Here is a 24,112-nt window from a genome sequence, read left to right on the forward strand (position 1 = left end):
GCGTTCACTCTATATATCAATTGCACTCCTGTTTTTGTTTTGTTTTGTTTTGTTTTGTTTGAGGCGGAGTTTCGCTCTTGTTGCCCAGGCTGGAGTGCAATGGTGCCCTCTCGGCTCACTGCAACCTCCGCCTCCCGGATGCCAGCGATTCTCCTGCCTCACCTGCCTCAGCCTCCCGAGTAGCTGGGATTACAGTTGCCCGCCACCACGCTAGGCTAATTTTTTGTATTTTTAGCAGAGACGGGGTTTCACCATATTGGTAAGGCTGGTCTTGAGCTCCTGACCTCAGGTGATCCACCCGCCCCAGCCTCCCAAAGCTCAGGGATTACAGGCAAAACCACCGCGCCCGGCCTCGGTTGCACTCCTGAAACACTTCTTACTTCCTCTTCATCTAACTCCTACTCATTCTACAGTCCTCAGAATAAGCATCTCATCTTCTGGAGGACTATTTTCGATTCCATAAATTCAGTTAGGTAAAACAATCTGTCATTCATCTATCAGAACATCCATTACCTTTTATTATATTAACTTTTGCTATCGTCTATCTCTCCAGATAGATTTTAAGGTATGAAGGCAGAGGCCAAGTTTCTCTCGTTCAACACTGTATACCAGGGACGGGTACAATGCCAGCTTAAACTAATAGCTCTGCACCCTGGGACCCAGAATCTGAACAAGTGAAGTTGTTTTCTTCCTATCTAGAGGCTGAAGCGCCCTACTGTTTTACATACACAATTAGATCTCCTTGACGACTAAGGCAATTTCTCAATCAAACCTGAAGAAGCAAACAGGTGGTGGAGTCTCCTGCCATTTTCCGCCCTGTGAGTGACTGCTCATCAGAGTTTCTCACATCAATCGCACTGGGAAAAATGCGGCCCCATTCACCCACTAGTGGCTTTGGTAGCTCAGCAAGTGGACCTCAAGAGTGACGATGCACACAAGACCAGAAAGGAGTGACTGGAGCCCCTGGGTCCTCAGACTGAGACCAGAAGGTTCGGGCCGAGGCGAAGGACAAAGATTTTTATTTTCCCACGTACCAAGCGAGGTGGCGCTGCCTCTGTGCTGTCCCGCCCGCCCTGGGACGCAGGCTGGCGAGGACGGTGGGACCCTGAACTGCACGTGAGCGTCCTTGGGGTCGAGGACGCGCCTCTGCCTGCTGGGAAAGCTCCGGGCGTCCGAAGCAGCCGGCGAAGTTGTAGCGGCGCCCCAGCGGGGTCGCTTGGTGCAGGGTTCACAGCCGGGGCCCGCATTCATGCTGGGACCAGCAGCGCACTGTCCCCGGGCCGGCCCGGGCGGAGAGCCTCATTCACTAACCCTGAGAGAGATGGACTGCGCCTCCTTCTCAGCGCCTGCCTGCACCATTCCCTCTCTGCCGCTGCCTGCTTCTGCAATTGCTGATCCGCCGGCCTCCCAAGTCAGGCCGTAAACACTCGCCTGCCTTCCCTCTTCCACTGGCACCCCACCTGCCTCAATGCGCCGCTTTGATTCGGGATTCGTTCACTTTCCCACCACCGGAAAGCTGCCGTCAGGCGCTTCCGGCTTCCGGGGCGCACACTGCCGCAAAGCGGAAGTGTGGCGCTTAACGGGAACCGGCGCCCGGAATGTCAGCGTGTGAAGTAGGCGCTGGCAACGCGGGGTTACCCGCTGTTATTGAGGAGTAACGGCCCAGCGGACCACCCAGGCTTGAGGCAGCGGCGGGAACCACTCGGTTTGCTGCGATACCATGGAAGGAGGCGGGGGAAGCGGCGACAAAACCACAGGGGTATTGGCCGGCTTTTTCGGAGCCGGCGAAGCAGGTTACTCGCACGCGGATTTGGCTGGCGTCCCGCGTAAGTATGGGGCCTAGCTTGCGATTATTTCTGACTGGTTCTTGCGTTTACACTAAAGTTGCGCGTCCCATGTTTTATGTTGTTGGTTTTTTTTTCCTTGCTGGCGTTTACAAGCTTAAGTACCAGTGGTGGGGTTAGTGTATCTGCATGGCTGCTCTTTCAAGATAGAAAGGCCTAAAAAAGGGCCACGGATCTCCTGGGGAAGCTGTCCGTGATTGACCTGGACTCGCGAGATGATGCATGTTTTCTTAGGTTTATATCCAAGCCTCGTACGTTTTGTGTGTGGTGGGCCGTGTGATTGACCCTTAAGAGTAGAGCCCAGCTTTGGGAGTAAATGTATTCCAAATAGCAAGCCCGTAGTTAACTTTTTAGTACACAGTGACATATTCTGAGCCTCCAAGTAGCCGTAAGGGCAGAATATTCAGTAATATTGCATGTAAGTGAGAAATAAATATGACTTGGGACAGGCTAGGAAACCTTCTTTAGGAGCTAGGAAGTAAGCTGAACTTTAAAGGTGATATATAGACATGAAGAAAGAAGCCAGGTAAGAATTATAGGAAAGGAAATAGGCAACATCAAGGTATACAGAGGCATAAATATCTTGCCTTTGCCTCTCCTCGGTCTTGTGAATATGTTTTCCAGAACTTTGGTACTTTGTAACTGTGGTTGTTCAACTAGATAAATAGAACTTGGACCTAAAGATAGGCAGTTGGTCGTGGATAAAGCCTTTACGAAAGTACTTTCTTTTTAGAGAATCCTTGTAATATTTCTCTAGGTATTTTATACTAAGGAACAACAACAACGAAATATGTTCAGACTGACTCTAGTGCAAAAAAATATAAAAGACCTTTCATTTCCCTGGTGTCACCTTTGTCAAAAAACTGAATCTACAACACATGGTGTTTTGTTTCGTTTTTTTTTTGTTTGTTTTTAGAGTCAGGACCTCGTTCTGTCACCCATGTTGGGGTGCGGTGGCATGATTATAGTTCACTGAAGCCTGGCACTCCTGAGCTCAAACAATCCTCCCCTCTAAGCCTCCTAAGTAGCTGGGAATCTAGGTACGTACCACCACACCTGGCTAATTTTTAAAATTTTTTTTTTGACTTATTGTGGAGATGGGGTCTCCCTGTGTTGTCCAAGCTGGTCTCAAACTCTCGAACTCAGGCCATCCTCCTGTCTCGGCCTCCCAAAATGCTGGGATTCCTAGGCCTGAGCTACTACTTTACCTGTTTAGAACACAGTTTCATATTAATCTTAGTATTTCTGAGTTTCAGAGCACAAAGGGCATATACACTTCCTTAATGTGACAATATTGTTAAATTAATTTGATTAAGATTTGAAGGTAAATTGGGGGACCAGGGAATGAACACCATTTACTGAGCTTTTACAGTGTGCTAGCTACTTTTCTGGGGGCAGGACTATAGTGGTTTTTGTGGGTTTTTTTTTTTTTTTTTTTTTTTGAAAAGAGGACCCTTGCGCTCACAGAGCTTACATAATACTGAGGTAAACCAACAAACATAAATTAAAACATTGCCTTTAGTGATAAGTGCTGTAAAGGGAATAAAGCAGAGTCATGAGATTGTGATGGAAGCAGGATGCCATTTTAGAGCGGATTAGGGAAAACATCTCAAGGGAGTTGACATTTGAGCTGTGACCCAAATACAGTACAAATGCTTGGGAGGCAAGTATCCAGGAAAATAGCTAGTGCAAATGTCCTGAAACAAAACAAATTTGGCATGTTTAAGGAACAGCTCTTAGGCCAGTCTGTCTTCGTAGTTACAAGGGAGTTGGATCAATTGAAGCTTGTGAAATCAGAGAGGTAGGGAATGACAGCTAATGTAGGATTTTGTAAGTTATGGTAAGGAGTTTCGATTTTCTTAAGAAAAATCACGTAGTTGCTATGTAGACAGTGAATTGAAGGGGTAAGAGAAAGCAAGGAGTTAGGAAATTGTTGCTGTGAGATATGATGGTTGGACTAGGATGGTAGCAATAGAGAAGATAAGTAACACAATTCAAAATGGGTATTAAAAATAGAACAAGCAGGACTCCTAATTGATGAAAAGATAGAGGCATGGGTGATGCATAGGTTTGTAAATAACTGCTGAGATACAGAAGGATCCAAAGATGATAGGTTTTACTGTTTTCAATGTTAGTGAATTCAGGTCTGGCCCTCTCAAAGTTTGTGTTTTCTTTTGCACAGACCCACATACCTGTGGTAATGACCCAAGGATTCTCAACCTTGCCACAGTAAATCAATCGTTAATAGTAATATGTGAAGGAACTGCCTTGAAATAGTTAGATACAACATGTACACAGTCAGAAAACCCAACCCAACCACTGTTTTTCCCATGGAATTGATTAGTCTTTTCTCAGTCTTATTTTGTAATTTATATAGTCACCAAGCATTCTTGTAGTAAAGTGAAAGAAATTAGCTTTGTAAATGGCCTGGACTACACTTCCTGTAAGTTCAAAAATCAGATCTATGACACTGCGATTATCTTATTGGTGTAAAAGCCTGAGCCACCAGTGGAAGACCTGGTTTGGGATTGAGGGTCTCAGGATGAGTCAGCCCCCAAACTGACAGATAGGGAGGATAAAATGGGAAAAAATTTTCTGCCTTCAGTGAGCCTATAAAAATTGCAAACACATGTAACAATCAGGAGCTGGATTAACTCTAACTGGATTAACTTAAAGAATTTTGTTGCAATGTGACATTTTGTTTTCTCTCTAGTAACTGGTATGAACCCTCTGTGTCCTTATTTAAATGTGGATCCACGATACCTCGTGCAGGTAAGACTAAGATTTTACTAGTTTGGTGCATTATTTTACCATTTTTAAAAAAACGCCAAGTGCTATGCTGACTTGAACTATGACATACACTTCTGGAGGCAGTAAGTCTCTGGTCTCCATTCACCCTTTTTTCCTCACAAACACCAGGAGCTTGGCCTGCATCTCTCTGAAACCAGTTAACTCCCTTCAAAAGCTTATTTTTTAAAACCAGAGCAGAATTAATTTTTGAAAGCACCCCAATAAAAGTATTGGGATGCCTAGTTACAAAGTGTGTGGGGTTTTTTTGTTTGTTTGTTTGTTTGTTTTTGAGCCAGAGTTTTGCTTTTGTCCTCCAGGCTGGAGTGCAGTAGCGCGATCTCTGCTCACTGCAACCTCAGCCTCCCAAATTCAGGCCATCGTCCTGCCTCAGCCTCCCGAGTAGCTGGGACTACAGGCGCCCATCACCACGCCTGGCTAATTTTTGTGTTCTCAATAGAGACCGGGTTTCACCATGTTGGCCAGGCTCCCAAAGTGCTGGGATTACAGGCAAAGTGTGTTTTAAAGCTCAGTTTACAATATCAGGGTTTTTTTGACTAAGCATCAAAAGTTTCAAAGAGTATCTTTTTGAATCCAAGATATATTAGCAAATATATCTTGGGTATATTAGAAAAGCAAGGTTGTTTTAACATCTGAAAATTAATGTATTGTGCCATATCAATTTATAATAAAGCAATCAAGGAAAGAATATAGTACAAAGACCACATGCTTATCTCAATAGATTCACAAAAATCATTTGACAACATCCAACACCCCCTTTAATGATTATAAAAACAAACTAGGCTGGGCGCAGTGATTCACACCTGTAATCCCAGCACTCTGGGAAGCTGAGGTGGGCAGATCACTTGAGGCCAGGAGTTTGAGACCAGCCTGGCCAACATAGCGAAACGCTGTTTCTACTAAAAATACAAAAATTAGCCAGGCGTGGTGGTGCCTACCTGTAATCCCAGCTGCTTGAGAGGCTGAGGCACGAGAATCGCTTGAACCCTGGATACAAAGGTTGCAGTGAGCTGAGAACACCCCACTACACTCCAGCCTGGGCAACAGAGTAAGACCCTGTCTCTAAATAAATAAATAAAACTAGACATAAAAGGGACTTCAGCCTGTTAAATGCCATCTACAGAATATCCAAAGCTAACATAATTTAATGGTGAAAGACTGAATGCCTTCTCCCTAAGATCAGGAACAAAATAAGTATATTTACTCTCATTTATATTCAGCATTGTCTGGCCAGGGCAATTAGTCAAGTACATTAAATGGCATTCAAGTTGAAAAAGAAGTTAAACTATCTGTTTACAAATGACATGATCTTATCTATAGAAAATCACAAGGGAAATCACAAAAATCTGTTAAAACTAATGATCGAGTTCAGCAAGTTGCAGAATACAAGTTCAATATACATAAATATATTTCTAGACAGTTGCAATGAACACTACAAAAATGAAATTACAAAAAACAGTTGATTACCAATAACATCAAAAAGCAAATACTTAGAAATAAATGGACCAGGTGCAAAACATATTCTGAAAACTATAAAACATTATTGAAATTAAGTGGAAAGACACATGCTATGATCCTGAAAATTTTAATATTAAAATGGCAGTGCTCACCAAATTAACCAACAGATTTAGTGCAGTGCCTGTCAAAATCCCAGCTGGCTTTTTTGCAGAAATTGACAAGCTTTTATCCTAAAATTCATATGGAAATTCAGGGGACATAGAATGGCCAATGACCTTGAGAAAATAGATTGGAGGACTTGAACTTGCCAATTTCAAAACTTTCTACAGAGCCACATCATGATAGTAACATAAGAATAAATCCATAGTTAATGAAATACAGAGTCCAGAAGACAGACCTTATACAATATACGCAGTCACTTGCTTTTCAACAAGGATGCCAAAATAGTTAAGTCAGGGGAGACGTTAGGACAACTGGAATCCATATGCATAAGAATGAAGTTGAACCCTAACCCTGCACCATATGCAAAATGTTACCACCAAATGGATTAAAGACTTAAATGTAAACCGAAGCAGTCAAACTCTTAGAAGAAATCATGGGCACAAGTAGTTGTGACTTTGGATTAGACAGTGATTTCTTGGTTGTGACACCAAAAGCACAAGTGGTAAAAAGAAAGTTGATAAATTGTATTTAATCAGAATTTTAAAATTTTGTGGTTTAGACAATACCAACAAGAATGGAGGCCAGGTGCAGTGGCTCACACCTGTAATCCCAGCACTTTGGGAGGCTGAGGCGGGTGGATCACCTGAGGTCAGGAGTTCGAGACCAGCCTGGCCAACATGGTGAAACCCCATCTCTACTAAAAAATACAAAAATTAGCCAGGCGTGGTGCTGGGCGCCTGTAATCCCAGCTACTTGGGAGGCTGAGGCAGGAGAATCACTTGAACCTGGGAGGCAGAGGTTGTGGTGAGCCGAGATCGCACCACCCGCACTTCAGCCTGGGCAACAGAGTAAGACTCGGTCTCAAAAATAAATAAATAAATAAATAAAGAATGGAAAAAGTCCTGGCGCAGTGGCTCGTGCCTATAATCCCAACACTTTTAAGAGGCTGAGGCGGGAGGATCACTTGAGCCCAGGAGTTTGAGACCTGCCTGGCCAACATAAGAAGATCCCATCTCTGCAAAAAAATACAAAAATTAGCGGGGTGTGGTGGTATGCACCTGTAGTCCCAGCTACTAGGGAGGCTGAGGTGGGAGGATCACTTGAGTCCAGCAGGTCAAGTCTCAGTGAGCATAATCAAACCACTTAACTCCAGCCTGGGTGACAGAGAGAGACTTTGTCTCAAAAGGAAAAAAATGGGGAAAAGACAATCCACAGACTGAGAGAAAATATTTGCATATTATGTATCTGATAAGGAATTTATATCTAGAATATTTAATTTTTTTAACTCTTGAAACATTAATAAAAATAATTACAAAATGGGCAAAGGATTTGAGTAGACATTTCTCTATGAAGATATACAGATGTCTAATAATGACATGAAAGCTGGTCAGTAACATTAATTAGAGAAATAAAACCACAATGAGATGCCTCTTTACACCCACGGGGATCACTATAATCAAAAAGAAAATAATAAGTATTGTTGAGGATGTAGAGAAATTGGACCTCTGTACATTGCTGGTGGGAATGTAAAATGATACAGCTGCTTTTAGAAACAGTCTGGCAGTTTCTCAAAGTGTTAAAAATAGAGTTACCTTATGACTGGCAATTTCACTTGCGTATACTCCATACTCAAGAGAATTGAAAACCTCTGTGCACATAAGTTGTAAATGAATGTTGCTAGTAGCATTATTCATAATAACCAAAAAATGGAAACAAACCAAATGTTTATCCACTGATGAATGGATAAAAAAGTGTGGCATATCCATACAAATGGAATATTATTTGGTAATAAAAAAAGAACTATTAAATTATGCTACAATATAAATGAACCTTTAAAACTTCCTAAATGAAAGAAACCAGTCACAAGAGACCACATATTGTGTGGTTCCATTTATATGGAATGTCCAGAATAGGCAAATATATGGACAAGAAAGTAGATTAGTAGCTGCCAAGGGTTGGGAGTAAATGGGCAGTGACTGCTAATGGGTATGTGATTTTTTTGGGGGGTGATGAAGATGCTTTAAAATTTATTGTAGTCTTGGTTGCACAACTCTGAATATACTAAAAACCACTGAATTGTACACTCTAAGTAAGTAAATTGTATGGTACATGAGATACATATCAGTAACTCCATTTTCTCTCTCTCTTTTTTTTCTAAGAGACAAAGTCTCACTCTGTCTTCCAGACTCGAGTTGCAGTAGCAGCATCATAGCTCACTGTAACCTCAAACTCCTAGGCTCAAGCGGTCCTTCTGCCTCATCCTCCTAGATAGCTAGGGCTGCAGATGAACACCACCATGCCTGGCTAATTCTTTTTTTTTTTACATTCTTTGTAGAGATGTGATCTGACTTGGTTGCCCAGGCTGGTCTCTTAACTCCTGGCCTCAAGTGGTCCTTCTGCCTTGGCCTCCCAAAGTGCTGGAATTACAGGCATGAGCCACCATGCCTGGCCTTTTTTTTTTTTTTTTTTTTTTAAGAGTTATGGTTGGAACCTTTTATTTCAGAGTTGAATCACTAACGGCATCTGACAGCTGCTGCATTTCTTGTTTGCGTTAAGTGTTCAAATTGAAGCAAGTTGATGGTTCGGACCTTGCCAATTTAAAGCTTCATTATTTTTGAAATGTTTTTCAAATGTTATATTTTAACATTGGGTGTTCCTTGATTTTTTTACTTTAAAAGTACTCCTTTGTCAGTTTACTCAAAATTTCAAAACTAGTTGCATGTATTTTGCTTTAATGTTGAATCTACACTTAGAGGTTGTACTCTAGATCTAGTTAAAATTCAATATCATTGTAGCCCTGCATTGCTAGGTGGGGCTTATTAAGGTTAGACATAAAATATTTCATATCCCCCCAAAAACTTGTGAATTCATTCTTCATCATGAACATTTAATCTTCCATTGGAATTCTAGAGGGACTTCAGACTTTAAAAAGTGTTTTATAAACCTCATCTGTTATTGGAAATAATTCTGGAGACCTTAAATTTAAAGATAATAGAAATTACATTTTGTAAAACTTTTATTTATACTTTTGAAGGTTAGAGACATCTTAAAGAAAATAGTACCTGTCAACTCACCATGTCGTGACTTTGGCAACAACTTTTTTTTTTTCTTGTTTAATAGTAGACACAGGGTCTCACTGTGTTGTCCAGGCTGGTCTGGAACTCCTGGGTTCAAGCAGTCCTCCCACCTTGGCCTCCCAAAGTGCTGGGATTACAAGCATGAGCTACTGTGCCTAGCCAACTTTTATCTGATACAGTATTGTAGTTTCTCTCACTAATGCTTTTGTATTGTCACTACTCTTATATCCTCATTGAAACTTTTTTTTAAATTGTGTCAAGTAATAAATTTTTTTGTTAGCCCAGGTGAACATCTGGTACAAAAATAAGGAAAATTTAAATATTTTTAACATCCATAGTGTTAAACACGCAAAATTATAAATTAAAAAAGTTTTTTCTTTTTTTTTTTTTTTTTTTCCCCCAGCAAGTACATTGATACCCATTCTTGGATTTATCTTCCATGTCAGCAAACTCTGGTACTTGGGATTTTAGTAATACTAGTGTCCTGGAGTGTCAACAGGACAGGTTTAACAAGAGCTTTTTAGTAAATCTTCTATACATTCAGTATATTAACATACTTTGATAACAGCCTTGTTTGTGTGTGAATTGATGGATGTTTGCTTGCAACCCTTGTTATATTTTTCAGTTGATACTAGCAGGAGAATGAGTTGGTGCTAACGTGCACTTTTGCTTGCTTGATAATGTTCATCACAGCCTTTTTTTTTTTTTTTAAGTTTTCTTTTCTTTTTTTTTTTTTGGAGATGGAGTCTCGCTCTGTCACCCAGGCTGGAGTGCAGTGGCGTGATCTCAGCTCACTGCAACCTCCACCCCCGGGTTCAAGCAATTCTCCTGCCTCAGCCTCCCAAGTAGCTGGGACTACAGGCGCACACTGCCACGCCCAGCTAATTTTTTGTATTTTAGTAGAGACGGGGTTTCACCATGTTGCCCAGGGTGGCCTTGAACTCCTGAGCTCTGGCAGTCCACCCGACTCGGCTTCCCAAAGCGCTGAGATTACAGGCGGGAGGCACCGTGCCTGGCCAAGTTTTCTATTCTTAATTAGTGATCTGTTTCTGTATTGAAGGATAATTTTTTTTTTCTTCTCAGCAACCATGGCCTGAGACTGAAGAATAATTATTTACCTTACCACATTGAATCTAGCATTTCTAAAAACTCAAACAAAAAGCAGTTTAATACTAAGTCATTATTTAAAAGTTGAAGTACCCAAAATTTATAAAACTCTATACAATTATATTATGACATGGGAACTATTCAGATTTTATTATTGCCCAACAGACCATTCTTATGTGATGAGAGTGGATGTGTTTGTTTACTTTTGCAATTTTTGGTGAGGATGTGTGCACATGCCAGAAAGAAAAAACCAAGGCAGAACCACAGTTTTCTGATTAGGAATACAGTTTTCTGAATCAACGTTCAGTATTTGCCACAAGGATGTAGGAGAATGTTAATTGTCAGTGGTCTTTACTATGTTAAATGTAACACACTATGTGTCTTTTTGCCAAGGGTGTGACCTAGCCATTAGAGGCTTATTTTAACCATCTTTGGATGGAAAGCGTGCCAAAAATGAGTGTGATTTTTTTTTTTTTAATCCAACATGGTGATAAAATTTTGTGTGTTTTTTTGAGTGTGTTTTTCATAAAGGTGCATTGACTCTTCAAAATTGGTAACCATATTTTGCTCTTAAGAGTGTCATTTCTCAATCTTAGTATTTTGGATGACCTTCCAGGGGTTCATGCCACATTTTGTGTATGCAATTACTAGAAATAGGGTCTATAGCTTTCTGAGAGTATCAAAGGAATATATACTCCTTAAACAGATAAGAATTATTAAAGGGGGTCATTTGCCCTTGCATAATTGATCCAAACTGTTGTACTTTATTAGTTTTTGCTCATGTTTGTGAACATTTGGCTTTATACATAGAAAAATGCACAATAAATAGCTGCTACAGAATGAAAGTTATTTGTTTCTTCCAGACTGGTTGTCTGTTCTGTTCTTCTCATAGCTTTCAGTGTTCCTTTCTCTAGAGCTGTCCTTTCTAAACACTTTTGCACAAATCTATCAGATTTACGTTTTGAAGGAAACAAAGTCTTTAATGAGACTCCCTTCTAAGAACTGTGTTTCGTATTTCATTTCACTTTGATTTAGGTGTTACTGCTGCAGAAAGTTTTATTTTTGTTTAAGTATAGGTTTGAGTTAATTTAAGGTTTATTTTCTGTGAAAAACTACTTGAAATGTTAAAAAGGCAACTTTACAAGATTTGTGTCTTGAGGGACACTCAGCTTGGTTTTCATTATTATCCTTTTAGGATACAGATGAGTTCATTTTACCTACCGGAGCTAATAAAACCTGGGGCAGATTTGAGCTGGCCTTCTTTACGATTGGAGGGTGTTGCATGACAGGTGAGTGTTACATACTTTTTTCTCAAGAGTGCTCAGTTCAAGTAGTTGAGGGTGCGTAAAATCAAAAGCAATTAGAATGTTGGTTTCAGGGTTTTTTTTTTTAATATTTACATTTGTCTTTTTCTATTAAATAAAAATGAAAAAGAATCAGAAGTGTAGTTATGCAGTTTTGAGGTTTTTTTTTTAATATAAAGCTGTCTTATCTGGGTGAATTTTTATGATTTACCAGGGGCTGCGTTTGGGGCAATGAATGGTCTTCGGCTAGGATTGAAGGAAACCCAGAACATGGCCTGGTCCAAACCAGGAAATGTACAGTAAGTCTCTTGTAACCATCTGATGTAGTGATACTTGAATATTAAGCTCTGTTGTATTGGTTTGATGAGTACAACCTTGAGATTACAGATGGTTAGCATAGTTATGTGCTTTTTTGTCTTTGTTTTTTAATCTTAATCAAAATAAAAGCAACTAAGGAATCAGATTACTGACTCTAAGCTTTTAAAAAGGAGTGATTTTTTTAATCAGTGTCCCTCAATCAGCTAGTGCTATGCCAGCCTGACTTCTCAGCTGCACCTGTTACATTCTCCAACCCTATGTGACTTGCTTTTCAAATTGTTGAGTTGCTAATGGGAATTTTGGATTGTTTGGGGGCATGCAGATCCATAGGAAATGGTAATGAAGAATAAGCAGCTCATGAGAGTGATGGCTCAAGCTGCCATCATTTAACTTGAACTTCTTACTGTCTTGACTTTGTTTCCGAAGTGATGAGCCAGATACATTTTAAATAAAATTTTTAGAATTAGAGTTAACTCCAAAAGGATAAGACACAGTTTTCTGTTAGAACTTGAAGTTACAGAGAAGGGAAAGTACAGTTAAAAGGATCAGAAAGTATGTTTTCACCCAACTTAAGAAGTAAACATGGCCAGTCCCTCTTGATATTCCTTAAACAATATGTTTAGTTTTGCCCATTTTTATGCTTCATGTAAGTGGAATCATGAGTATGTATTCTTCGATGGCTACTGTTTTGTTTTAGGACACTTTAAACTCCTATCTTCCTTTCATATTGTTCACCCAGCAGATGGCACCAGATGTGCTAGAATTAGACCATGGGAAACTGGAAGGCCTGTTAAATTGTGTGGTTTTTTGAGAGACAGGGCCTTGCTGTGTTGCCCGAGCTGGAGTGCAATGGTGCCATCACAGCTCACTGTAGCCTTGACCTCCTGGGCTCAAGTGATCCTCCCACCTCAGCCTCCCGAGTAGCTGGGACTACAGGCACATGCCACCATGCCCAGTTAATTTTTTAATTTTTTGTAGAGACGGGGTCTCACTGTATTGCTCAGGCTGTTCTCAAACTCCTGAGCTCAGGTGATCCTCTTGCCTCAGCCTTCCAAACTGCTGGGATTACAGACATGAGCCACTGCGCCTAGCTCTGTTAAGTTTTTTATATTCCTGTTACTGTGTGGATCTCTGTCCATGCTTTACCAGCCTAGATCCTTCAATATTTTTATTACTTGTCCCTCGCTTCAATAATATTTTTAAGTTTTTGTATTATAGGGAATTTTGAATATATAAAAGTAGACAAAATACATAGCATAGTGAACACATGAACCATAACCCATCCTCAACAACCATCAACCATGGCCAGTTCTATCCCATCTCCCTCTCCTCTCCCACCTTATTTTGAGACAAAAACCCCAATATCATATTAAATACAAATTTGGAAGTAGATCTCCTAGAAAAGACAACTTGCTTCCTTTCTTAAAACAAGTTATTAAAATGCTTGTTAAAAATGAAAAAATGATGGCTGAACTTAAAATACGTTAGTAAATATGTAACATAATTAGAAACAATATACTTCTGTTTGTAAACATTACTGATTTTTTAAAACAATCTTTTAGAAGCAATACAAATTTTTGTTTCTGTAGAACGTTAATTGAGTCGTTTAATAATTAAACTGAATGAGTTCCTTCACTCTTTGTTACTGTATTTCCATAATTTCCAGCAGTAGTCAGCTGTCTGGACAGAACCATTCCTGGGATGGTGTTACACTGCTGGGAGAAGAATGTCTTCTCTTCATCCAGTTGCCTCCATCACTGTTCTGGTGGTGTCTGGCACTGGTGCAAGGCAGAACTGTGCTTCCTTGAGAGTGTGCTGAGCATTCACCTTGGCTGCTTGGTTCTAGTCTGGGAGCAGACACAGGGTGCTTTCCCCATGTATTCTAGTTAGATGGCTGATTCCTTCTCTTTAATTCTACTTTATATTCTGTACTTCGATATTCTTTACTTTATATTCTGTACTTTGATATTCTTTACTTTGATTATCTTTAACATTCTAAGCATATGTTCCCCTCCCAAAAAGAACCTTTTAGAAGCTAGCTCGCCATAGTTAACAGTGGCATTTTTTACATGGATTAGTTTCTGTAAACCTCTGTAAGATACATTCCAGGCTGTCATTCAAAGCCTTATATATATTTAATGTGTATTCATTATATTATACATTTAATAATAAGAGTTTTCCTTATTATTATTATTATTATTATTATTATTAAGGACTTATATAAAAGTCCTTAAGACTTTTGCCTAAAATTTTGAAAGTTTTAACCTAATTTTCACTTATGTAGAGTAAAAACCATCCTTATTGAAATCGGAGATATTAAGATGTATTTTAGAATTTAAAAAACTTTGCGCCCTGGGTCTAGACATGTTAAATAGCCATTATTGTTTTTAAAGATTACTAGAGAAATAATGATTCTAAATACAGATTCTTTCTCTTTCTGCCCTGATAGGATTTTGAATATGGTGACTAGGCAAGGGGCACTTTGGGCTAATACTCTAGGTTCTCTGGGTAAGTAGAGATCTCGTTTGATAATAAATTGTTAACTTAAAGAAAGAATGCACAAATATCATGAACAATTTGATCAACCCATATTCTGGTCCTAGGATATGAGACAATTATGTTTAAATCCATTCCAATGCATAATGTAGATACTACTTAGGGAAAGACCATGAACTAACTTATGAAATAATCTCAGGTGCTGATACCATTCTGAATACCATTTCTGAATTTTTAAAATATTTTGGACACTGCACACTCTCCAAGCACAACACCCAATAAAATCATGTTTAAATGAAATCCAGATAATTTAGGTCCAAAGTAAAGAGCTTTGTATGTTAGACAAGGTTCAAGGTCCTGTAGTGATACATGATAAATTAATCCAGCCCTCTTGCTATGTTTTCTTAATAGCGTGTTCATTAGTCTGTTTACCTGAGTAGATTTCAGGCACCTAATTGCCACAATTGGAATAGGTTCCTTGTAGATAATGAAAACGTTTGCAGTTCTAGGCAAAAGGTAATTTAGTAGTGCTTAGTCAGAGCCTAATGCTTTCATACCATATTGTTTATGAATGATTGATCACTTACAATAGATCTCTTATGGCTTATGTCCTGACATCCAAAATTTTCCTACTGTGTGAACTTAGTTGAAAATCTCAATTTAAATTGTGGCAGATTAAGGAGGGGAAGACATAGAAAACTCATTGAAAACATAGAAAAAGCGTTTGTTATGGCAGAGTAAGGTCCTGCCTTGTCACAGAATTTGGAAGCAGTACATCTTCACACTGTAAAGCCAGTTTTCACACTTTGGATCCTAAGAGATGGCTGCTTTCATATGTTGCTGATGTCTGCATTCCTCCCACCCTCCTACAGAGTCACCCCTCTCTGCTTCTTTTAATTGCTTGTATACCTAGAGTAGTCAGCTGTCCTTGTCTGCCTAGGACTTTCAGAGAAAAGTCCAAGAAACTATGTTCCAATAATCTCCACCCCCCGCCCACCCCGCCCCACAGTCCTGGACAAACTAGAATGGCTGGTCACCCTCTGTGTACCCATTGTGGTATGATCAAGAAGGATGTTCTGCTTGTGATCAGTTTCAGTTAAATAAGTTGAAGAGGAAGATGAACTTTCATAGAAGTATAAAAATACTGCAGTAGAGGAGTTGTAAGGCTGAGCGCGGTGTATTGTTGCAAGGGGCAAGTGTAGCTATAATTTTGAGAAAGAGTTTAAAAGTTTAACGTTCATTCCAGATAGGAATCTGCAAGAGCATAGAAAGATGGCTTGGGGGAAGATACTTTAAAATGAAATGGTGCTAGTGTTATAATACGTGAGAATCAAACCTCACTTTTTTTTTAATCTATTTTTTCTTATACTAGAAATACGTGTGTGTGTGTGTGTGTGTGTGTGTGTGTGTGTGTGTGTGTGTATGTGTGTCTTCAATCCGAAGTACAGCAATTATGGGTAGCATATAAATGAAAATTTTAAATATTCTTCCTGAGACTTCCTAGCGGTACTTTCTAGAAATAGCTATTGATGTTTCTTCTGAATTCTTCCAGGCGTTTCTCTGCATAGCCAGTCAGTCGTGTATCATGTGCACATGTCCCTGATTTACTTATTAGTGAAAATGATTCTTCTGGTTTTTAAGTGACTGTATAGTATTCCATTATATGAAAAGTCCCTCTCTGGATCAATTCAGATGGTACAAATGCTCTTGATGGGCATTTTATTTGTTGCCAGGTGTTTGCTATTAGAAACTGTTCTAGTGATCATTCCATGTATATCTTTGGATAAATTTTTCTAAATATAATTGCCATACTGACTTTTGTGTTGAAAAAAAAAAACAGTTTTTCCTCTGCTCTCACACTACAACAGTCAACATAGGATAGTTCTGTGACCAGTTATGTGGGAATATTTCCCCACATACCAAGTAATCTCTTTTGCAGTGGACAGCAGTTGGGTGTCCTCCTGTTTCACTTCTGCCTGGAGATAGCATTAGATCAGCAGGTTGAGCACTCTGTCCCACAAAACTGAGCCCCACTTTGGATACTTCTGATGCTGATCGCAAGCTCCAGGTTATTTTACCTGTGCTTCTGACCAACCAGCTTTGTCAGGGTTTCCCACAACCCCCTCTTTGGGTTTGATTAATTTATTGGATTGGCTCACAGAACTCGAGGGAACACATACTTAACATTTGCGTATTTATTATAAAGATTTTTTTTTTTTTTTTTTTGAGACAAGGTCTTGCTCTGTCACCCATGCTAGAGTGCAGTGGAGCTCACTGCAACCTAGACTTCTGGGCTTAAGCAAGCCTCCCACCTCAGCCTTTCAAGGAGCTGGGACTATAGGCAACATGCACCACCATGCCAACTAATTTTTTTAAAAATTTTTTTGGAGAAGGGGGTATCCCTATGTTGTTGCCCAGACTGGTCTCTGACTCCTGGGCTTATGTGATCTTCCCACCTCGGCCTCCCAGAGTGCTGGGATTACAGAAACTTTGTGAGCCACCACACCTGGCTGGATATTTTTAAAGGATACAAATAGCCCAGTCAAGGAATACATAAGGTGAGGCCTGGATGGGCCCTGAGTGCAGGAGCTTTCATTTCACTGGAGTTGGGGTGCACTAGCCTCCTGACACGTGGGTGAGTTCTTTCTCACTTTCCTGCAAGTCCCATGAGTTGAGCTGTCCAGAAAGTCTTCCGACCCCATCCACTTGGGCCTCATGTGGAAAATTGATTGGATAGGCATGACTGAAGCATGGACAACCTTATAGAACTGTGATTGGACAAAAAGGACATGCTCTACTACTAATAGACTGGGCACAGAAATCCAGCAAGGCCTGCCTGCCCAGATTCTCCTTGGCCTTTCTGTGCAACATTTCTTCTTCCTGGGTATGGGGTACGATCTCTTCTGAAATGGGGGTCTTACAGCCTGCAATCAGACAAGGTAGGTCATAGAATTTCTTTATGGCCAGTTCCAAGACAGGAAGGTGTGGGGAAAGATTAGAGTCCTGCTGTGGGGAGAAAAGGGAGCAGGTGAAAGGAGGGCAGGAGAAGGTCACAGAGAGAGATTCTGTTTCTGAGGCTGCTTCTGAGGCCTGAAGTGCCCCAGTAATACAACAAAAGACCTTCACCTTTGTCCCTCTGAAGCTGTTCCAAAGCTGATTCCAGAACCAAGGACAAATACCTTAACAAGTGATTGTTTTAGTCACTTAGGAAGGGCTATGGGAGTTATGAGCTAGGAACCATGGATGAAAACCAATATATGTATATCATAATATCACACTTTATCACTGTTTTGTCACTGAGCACTTCCATTTCCTCTTTAGCGTTGCTCTATAGTGCATTTGGTGTCATCATTGAGAAAACACGAGGTGCAGAAGATGACCTTAACACAGTAGCAGCTGGAACCATGACAGGCATGTTGTATAAATGTACAGGTGAGTACTGTTGAATGGGGAGCCATCTCTTAATATACTTGAAGTGCGCTTTTTAAAATTCATGGTTTTCAAGGAAATTACACTCTGTTGCAGTATAATCTAGTGTTCTAACTTTATGGTTATTTTGGTTTGGTTTGGTTTTTAATTGTGGTAAAATATGAGATTTACCCATCTTAACCATTTTTAAGTATACAGTACATTAGTATTATAGTCACATGATTATATAACCAATCTCTGGAACTTTTTCATCTTGCAAAACTGATACTCTGTACCTATTAAGCCTCCAATTTACCACTTCCTTAGCTCCTGATAATGTTACACTTTCTGTCTCTGAATTGGCTGCTTTAGGCACCTCATATAAGTAGAATCATACAATATTTGTCCTTTTTTGATTGGCTTATTTTACGTAGCATAATATCCTCAAGGTTCATCCATATTGTTGCGTGTGCCAGAATTCCCTTCCTTTTTAAAGCTAAATAATATTCATTCTGTGTATGTGTACCACATTTTGCATGTGCATTCTTTTATCAAGGAATATTTGGGTTGCTTCTACCTTTTGGCTATTGTGAATAATGCTGCTACGAATATGGATGTACAAATATCTCTTCAAGGTCCTTCTTTCTTTTTTTGGATATATGTGCAGAAGTGGGATTCTTGGATCATATGGTTTATGGTGGTTTTTTGACATTAAGAATATAAGATTCTTTTCTGTATTTTTCATTCATTTTAGTTTAGTTTTTTTAATCTTGGACAGACTAAGCAATAGAATATTCAGAATTGTTGGTTTTGTTTTAAACAATAGTTTGACCTGTGACATCAGCATATTAAACTATCACAAGACACACACAAGGTCGAAGCCCAGGAATGACTTCCCTGTAAGTCAATTTAGAGCATCTTATTCCTATGATCATCTTACGCTACTGGGAGATAAACATGTTGCTGTCAAGGGTCAGATAATTCTCTTCTGTGATAAGTTTTACTAGTTTAGAAGCATACATCCAAGTAATGCCTAATTTAGCTTTTTTATTGTGTTGATACATCTTTGGCTACTTAATTTTTATTTTTATCAAAATAATCCACATACGTGATTTTTTAAGTCAAGGTTTTTATCTTAACGTCTAAAAGATTTTAATGATGTTTAATCCACATACTTGATTTTTTAAGTCAAGGTTTTTATCTTTTTAACATCTAAAAGATTTTAATGATGCACAACAGTGTTCTATACGTCTCACCTTAATTCCCTTTTCCCAAAGGCAACTTTTAATTTTTTTTTTTTTCTTTCTTTTTTGAGATGGAGTCTTGGTGTCACCCAGGCTGGAGTGCAGTGGCATGATCTCGGCTCACTGCAACCTCCACCTCCTGGGATCAAGCAGTTCTCCCATCTCAGCCTCCTGAGTAGCTGGGACTGCAGGCACACACCACCACATCTGGCTAATTCTTGTATTTTTAGTAGAGACGGGGTTTCACCATATTGGTCAGGCTGGTCTCAAACTCCTGACCTCAGGTGATCCACCCTCCTCAGCCTCCCAAGTGCTAGGATTACAGGCGTGAGCCACCACTCCCAGCTTATTTTAATTTTTTTTTTAAGACAGAGTCTCACTCTGTCATCCAGGCTGGAGTGCAGTGGCACAATCAAGGCTCACTGTAGCCTTGACCTCCTGGGCTCAGGTGATCCATCTCAGCCTCCTGAGTAGCTGGGACTACAGGCACACGCCTCCACACCCAGCTAATTTTTTTTTTTTTTTTCTTTTTCGGAGATGGGGTCTCACTATGTTGCCCAGGCTGGTCTTGAACTCCTGGGCTCAAGCAGTCATCCTGCCTCAGCCTCCCAAAGTGCTAGGATTGCAGATGTGAGCTACCATGCCTAGGCTGCTTTAATTCATTATTTTTTATTTTCATGTTTTTAAATAATATTATTATCTTGATTTTTCTTGACTTTTCAGTCTTACATATTGTCTGTTGACTTCCAAGAGGAAAGCTGTGTTAACTCTGCTAAGAATTGTACAAAATACGCTTAAAGTAGAAAGGAGGTCACATCCTTTATATAGGTTAGCTCATTTACCATTCTCTGAAGGTAGTAGACTGGTACTCCCTTGTTTTATAGACAAAGAAACTAAAATTCAGACAAGTTAAATTACCTCCACATGCTCACACAGCTCTGTCATGTTCTAGTGCATCAAACTCTAGTCTGAGTCCAAAGCCCGTTGTCTTTCTCACCAAACCAAATTACCTCCAGGACAGAGAAATCAGGAAAATTTCTAGAAAAGGGAAAGAAGTAATAAATAACAGTTGAGCCAGACCTTAAGGATGGACTGAATTTTCTGATGTATCTGTTTGATTATATGATACATATAAGGAAGTTGTGGGAGAAAAGTCTGGGAAGATAGTTTAGGCTTATGGCATGGAAAGCTAAGGTAAGAAGCTTAAAATTACATAGAAAGGCAGCATGTCATCAAAGGTTTTTGGACAGAGTATTAGAATTATCTCTGAGGAAGATTAAGTTAGAAGTAGTGGGTAGATAAAATAGATTGGAGGTAGAAGCCTAAAGTCAAAATGGTCCAGGAAAAGTATTAGTTGAAGAGATGGTAAGGAAAAGGTTGAAGTGAAAGATGATTGGGTCAGCTGGGCACGGTGGCTCACGCCTGTAATCCCAGCATTTTTGGGAGGCTGAGGCGGGTGGATCCCCTGAGGTCAGGAGTTCGAGACCAGCCTGACCAACATAGAGAAATCCGGTCTCCACTAAAAATACAAAATTAGCCAGGTGTGGTGGCACATGCCTGAAATCCCAGCTACTCGGGAGGCTGAGGCAGGAGAATTGCTTGAACCTGGGAGGTGGAGGTTGCGGTGAGGCAAGATCACGCCACTGCACTCTAGCCTGGGCAATAAGAGTGAAACTCTGTCTCAAAAAAAAAAAAAAAAAGAAAAGAAAAAAAATAATGATGGGATCACTAGAAGACGGTTTGCTGTTTGGTGGTTTCTTTCTCTGTTTTGTTATATTGTGGAAGCAATATATGGGACTTTGAATAGCATAGCAGCTAGCTGTCCTGGGCTCCCTCACCACTGCCCCCATCTGTCCCTTACTTATCTCTTCCAGGCAAGACTAAAGTCACTAAAATGTTTCCCTTGTTTTTTTTTTTGAGTTGCGGTCTTGCTCTGTCACCCAGGCTAAAGTGCAGTGGTGCCATCATGGCTCACTACAGCCTTGAACTCCTGGGCTCAAAGGATCCTCTCACCTCAGCCTGCCCAGTGGTTCAGACTACAGGTGCATGCCACCACACCCAGCTAATTTTTTTCATTGTTTCTTTTTTTGTTTAGCAATGGGGTCTTGCTATGTTACCCAGGCTGGCCTCAAGCAATCCTCCCACCTCAGCCTCCTGAGTTACTGGATTACAGGCATGAGCCACTGTGCCCAGCTGTCTGAATTGTTTTTGACTCCCCATAGTACTGTGTCCTTTTAGGAGAGTTTTTTTGCCACTGATTCTCAGTTGTTTGGGTGATTGCTTTTCTGTGGGTGGGAGGAATTGTCCTAGATCTCTTTGAGGGTCTTATGAAAGTTTTTGACAGTTTCTAAACCCTGCATTAACATCTCAGTATGTGTAGACTCTCGTTAGGAGAATTATGAAACTTAACTCTTTAGAAGTTTTATAAACACTTTGAGGCTTATGATTAAATGAAAGTGCTGATACTTAGAAGGTAGCAATCAAAATCCAATTAAGCTTTTTTTTGCTTTTTTTTTTTTTTTAAACGGAGTTTTGCTCTGTCGCCAGGCTGCGGTGCAGTGGCACAATCTTGGCTCACTGCAACCTCCACCTCCTGGGTTCAAGCGATTCTCCTGCCTCAGCTTCCCAAGTAGCTGGGATTACAGATGCCCGCCACCACGCCCAGCTAATTTTTGTATTTTTAATAGAGTCGGGGTTTCACCATGTTGGCCAGGATGTTCTCGATCCCCTGACCTCATGATCCGCCCACCTCAGCCTCCCAAAGTGCTGGGATTACAGGCGTGAACCACCACGCCGGGCCAAGCCAGATTCTTTAAAGTGGCTCTATCTTCTCTGTAATTTGCTCCCTTGCCACTTTGATGACTCCAGATTCTACTCCTATTCCCATTGTCTTTTAACTCCCACTTCAGGGCCTTTATTCTTGCTGTTACCATTTCCTAGAACAATCCTTCCAGATACCTACCTGAAATGCTGCATCATCTGTCCATCTTTGTTCAGATACCACCTTTTCTTTGAGGCCTTCTCTTAAACACTGTCGTACATACAGTTTTGCACATACATTTTAGTTGTAGGATAAATTGCTAAAAATTAAGTTATTTGAGAAAATTATCTGCATGCTTAAAACGTGAATGACTACTGCCAAATGACCCTTCTAGTACTTGCTAACGTTTGCCAGTGTGAGCATCTACCATCACTTTTTTTTTTTTTTGAGACAGAGTTTCACTCTCGTTGGCCAGACTGGAGTACAATGGCATGATCTTGGCTCACAGCAACCTCTGCCTCCTGAGTTCAAGCGATTCTCCTGCCTCAGCCTCCCCAGTAGCTGGAATTACAGGCATGCACCACGATGCCCGGCTAATTTTGTGTATTTTTAGTAGAGACGGGGTTTCTCCATGTTGGTCAGGCTGATCTCGAACTCCCGACCTCAGGTTGCAGTGAGCAGAGATCGCGCCACTGAATTCCAGCCTGGGCGATAGAGCGAGTCTGTCTCAGAATGAAATGACGTGACATGACATGACATGATGAAATGAATAATGAAATGCCGGGTGTGGTGGCACACTCCAGCCTGGGCAATAGAGCAAGTCTCTGTCTCGAAATGAAATGGAATGAAATGAAGAGAATAAATGAAATAAATGAAATGAAATAATAAAATGAATAATGAATTGCCAGGTGAAATGAAATGAAATGATGAAATGAATAATGAAATGCCGGGTGCAGTGGTGCACTCCAACCTGGGCAATAGAGCAGGTCTCCGTCTCGAAATGAAATGAGATGACATGAGATGAAATGGGATGAAATGAAATAATGAACAATGAAATGCCGGGTGAAATGAAATGAAATGAAGAAATAAATGAAATATTGAAATGAATAATAAAATTCTGGGTGCGGTGATGCACTCCAGCTTGGGTGATAGAGTGAGACTCCGTCTTGAAATGAAATGATGAAATAATGAAACAAAATTAAATATGAAATGAAATACGAAATACTGGGTGCGGTGGCTCACGCCTGTAATCCTAGCACTTTGGGAGGCTGAGGAGGGTGGATCACCTGAGGTCAGGAGTTCAAGACCAGCCTGGCCAACATGATGAAACCCCATCTCTACTAAAATACAAAAACTAGCCGGGCATGATAGCGGGTGCCTGTAATCCCAGCTACTTGGGAGGCTGAGAGAGGAGAATCGCTTGAACCCAGGAGGCAGAGGTTGCAGTGAGCAGGGATCGCGCCACTGCACTCCAGCCTGGGTGTTAGAACAAGCCTCTGGCTCGAAATGACATGACATGACATGATGAAATGAAATAATGAAATGAATAATGAAATGCGTGTGGTGCACTCCAGCCTGGGCAATGCAGCAAGTCTCTGTCATGAAATGGATTGAAATTGAATGGGAATGGGAATATGGGAATGGAATAAATGAAATGAAGAAATATGAAATGCCAGGTGTGGTGGCGCACTCCAGCCTGGGTGATAGAGCGAGTCTCCATCTTGAAGTGAAATGAAATGAAATGAAATGAAGAAATGAAATAAATGAATACTGAAATGAAATAATAAAATGAAATGCCAGGTGTGGTGGCACACTCCAGCCTGGGCAATAGAGCGCGTCTCCGTCTTGAAATGAAATGAAATAAATGAAATGAGAAATGATGAGATGAAATATGAAATGCTGGGTGAAATGAATAATGAAATGCCAGGTGTGGTGGCGCAGTCCAGCCTGGGTGATAGAGCGAGTCTCTGTCTTGAAATGAAATGAAATGATCAAATGAAATGATGAAATGAAATAATGAAATGAATAATGAAATTCTGGGTGCAGTGGCGCACTCCAGCCTGGGCAATAGAGGGAGTCTCCGTCTCGAAATGAAATGAAATGAAATGATGAAATGAAATAATGA

The 24,112-nt window shown here is 40.4% G+C and overlaps 2 protein-coding genes, 1 long non-coding RNA gene and 1 other non-coding gene across 29 annotated transcripts in view, besides 1 other annotated feature; 3 read left to right on the top strand and 1 right to left on the bottom strand.

Annotated features, from left to right (window-relative positions):
* Positions 1–1,553, bottom strand: part of PARG (poly(ADP-ribose) glycohydrolase) — a 123,749-nt gene extending 122,196 nt beyond the window's left edge. For 13 of the 15 annotated variants that reach the window (NR_130169.3, NR_136752.3, NR_136754.3 and 10 more), the window contains exon 1: positions 1,035–1,553. Coding sequence is in view for 4 of the 15 variants with exons in the window: in XM_011540305.2 (XP_011538607.1) it covers positions 1,035–1,251 (217 nt within the window). In the remaining 11 variants the exon portion in view is untranslated. The remainder of the gene's footprint in view (positions 1–1,034) is intronic. The other 2 variants (NM_001303486.3, NM_001324381.3) reach the window with 2 other exon arrangements.
* Positions 1,394–1,463: an enhancer, noted in NCBI's record as "active region_3355". NCBI's record gives its function as "activates an Ori minimal core promoter by ATAC-STARR-seq in GM12878 lymphoblastoid cells {active_cell/tissue: GM12878}" and the evidence as "EXISTENCE:reporter gene assay evidence [ECO:0000049][PMID:35858748]".
* TIMM23B-AGAP6 (TIMM23B-AGAP6 readthrough (NMD candidate)) overlaps positions 1,579–24,112 on the top strand; it is a 68,464-nt gene continuing 45,930 nt past the window's right edge. For 3 of the 7 annotated variants that reach the window (NR_158661.1, NR_158660.1, NR_158657.1), the window contains exons 1-7: positions 1,579–1,826; positions 2,761–2,884; positions 4,558–4,616; positions 11,652–11,745; positions 11,975–12,059; positions 14,528–14,586; positions 17,896–18,006. This is a non-coding gene — a long non-coding RNA (TIMM23B-AGAP6 readthrough (NMD candidate)). The remainder of the gene's footprint in view (positions 1,827–2,760; positions 2,885–4,557; positions 4,617–11,651; positions 11,746–11,974; positions 12,060–14,527; positions 14,587–17,895; positions 18,007–24,112) is intronic. The other 4 variants (NR_158659.1, NR_158656.1, NR_158658.1 and 1 more) reach the window with 2 other exon arrangements.
* Positions 1,579–24,112, top strand: part of TIMM23B (translocase of inner mitochondrial membrane 23 homolog B) — a 32,798-nt gene continuing 10,264 nt past the window's right edge. For 2 of the 6 annotated variants that reach the window (NR_158651.1, NM_001290117.2), the window contains exons 1-6: positions 1,579–1,826; positions 4,558–4,616; positions 11,652–11,745; positions 11,975–12,059; positions 14,528–14,586; positions 17,896–18,006. Coding sequence is in view for 3 of the 6 variants with exons in the window: in NM_001290117.2 (NP_001277046.1) it covers positions 1,721–1,826; positions 4,558–4,616; positions 11,652–11,745; positions 11,975–12,059; positions 14,528–14,586; positions 17,896–18,006 (514 nt within the window). In the remaining 3 variants the exon portion in view is untranslated. Of the gene's footprint in view, positions 1,827–2,760; positions 2,885–4,557; positions 4,617–11,651; positions 11,746–11,974; positions 12,060–14,527; positions 14,587–17,895; positions 18,007–24,112 lie in introns of all 6 variants that reach the window. The other 4 variants (NR_158652.1, NM_001365871.1, NR_110767.2 and 1 more) reach the window with 3 other exon arrangements.
* On the top strand, positions 13,738–13,941 carry SNORA74C-2 (small nucleolar RNA, H/ACA box 74C-2). The gene has a single exon (NR_145778.2). It is a non-coding gene; the product is annotated as a small nucleolar RNA, H/ACA box 74C-2 (small nucleolar RNA).

The sequence above is a fragment of the Homo sapiens genome, chromosome 10, assembly GCF_000001405.40.
Source record: "Homo sapiens chromosome 10, GRCh38.p14 Primary Assembly".
NCBI lineage: Eukaryota > Metazoa > Chordata > Mammalia > Primates > Hominidae > Homo > Homo sapiens.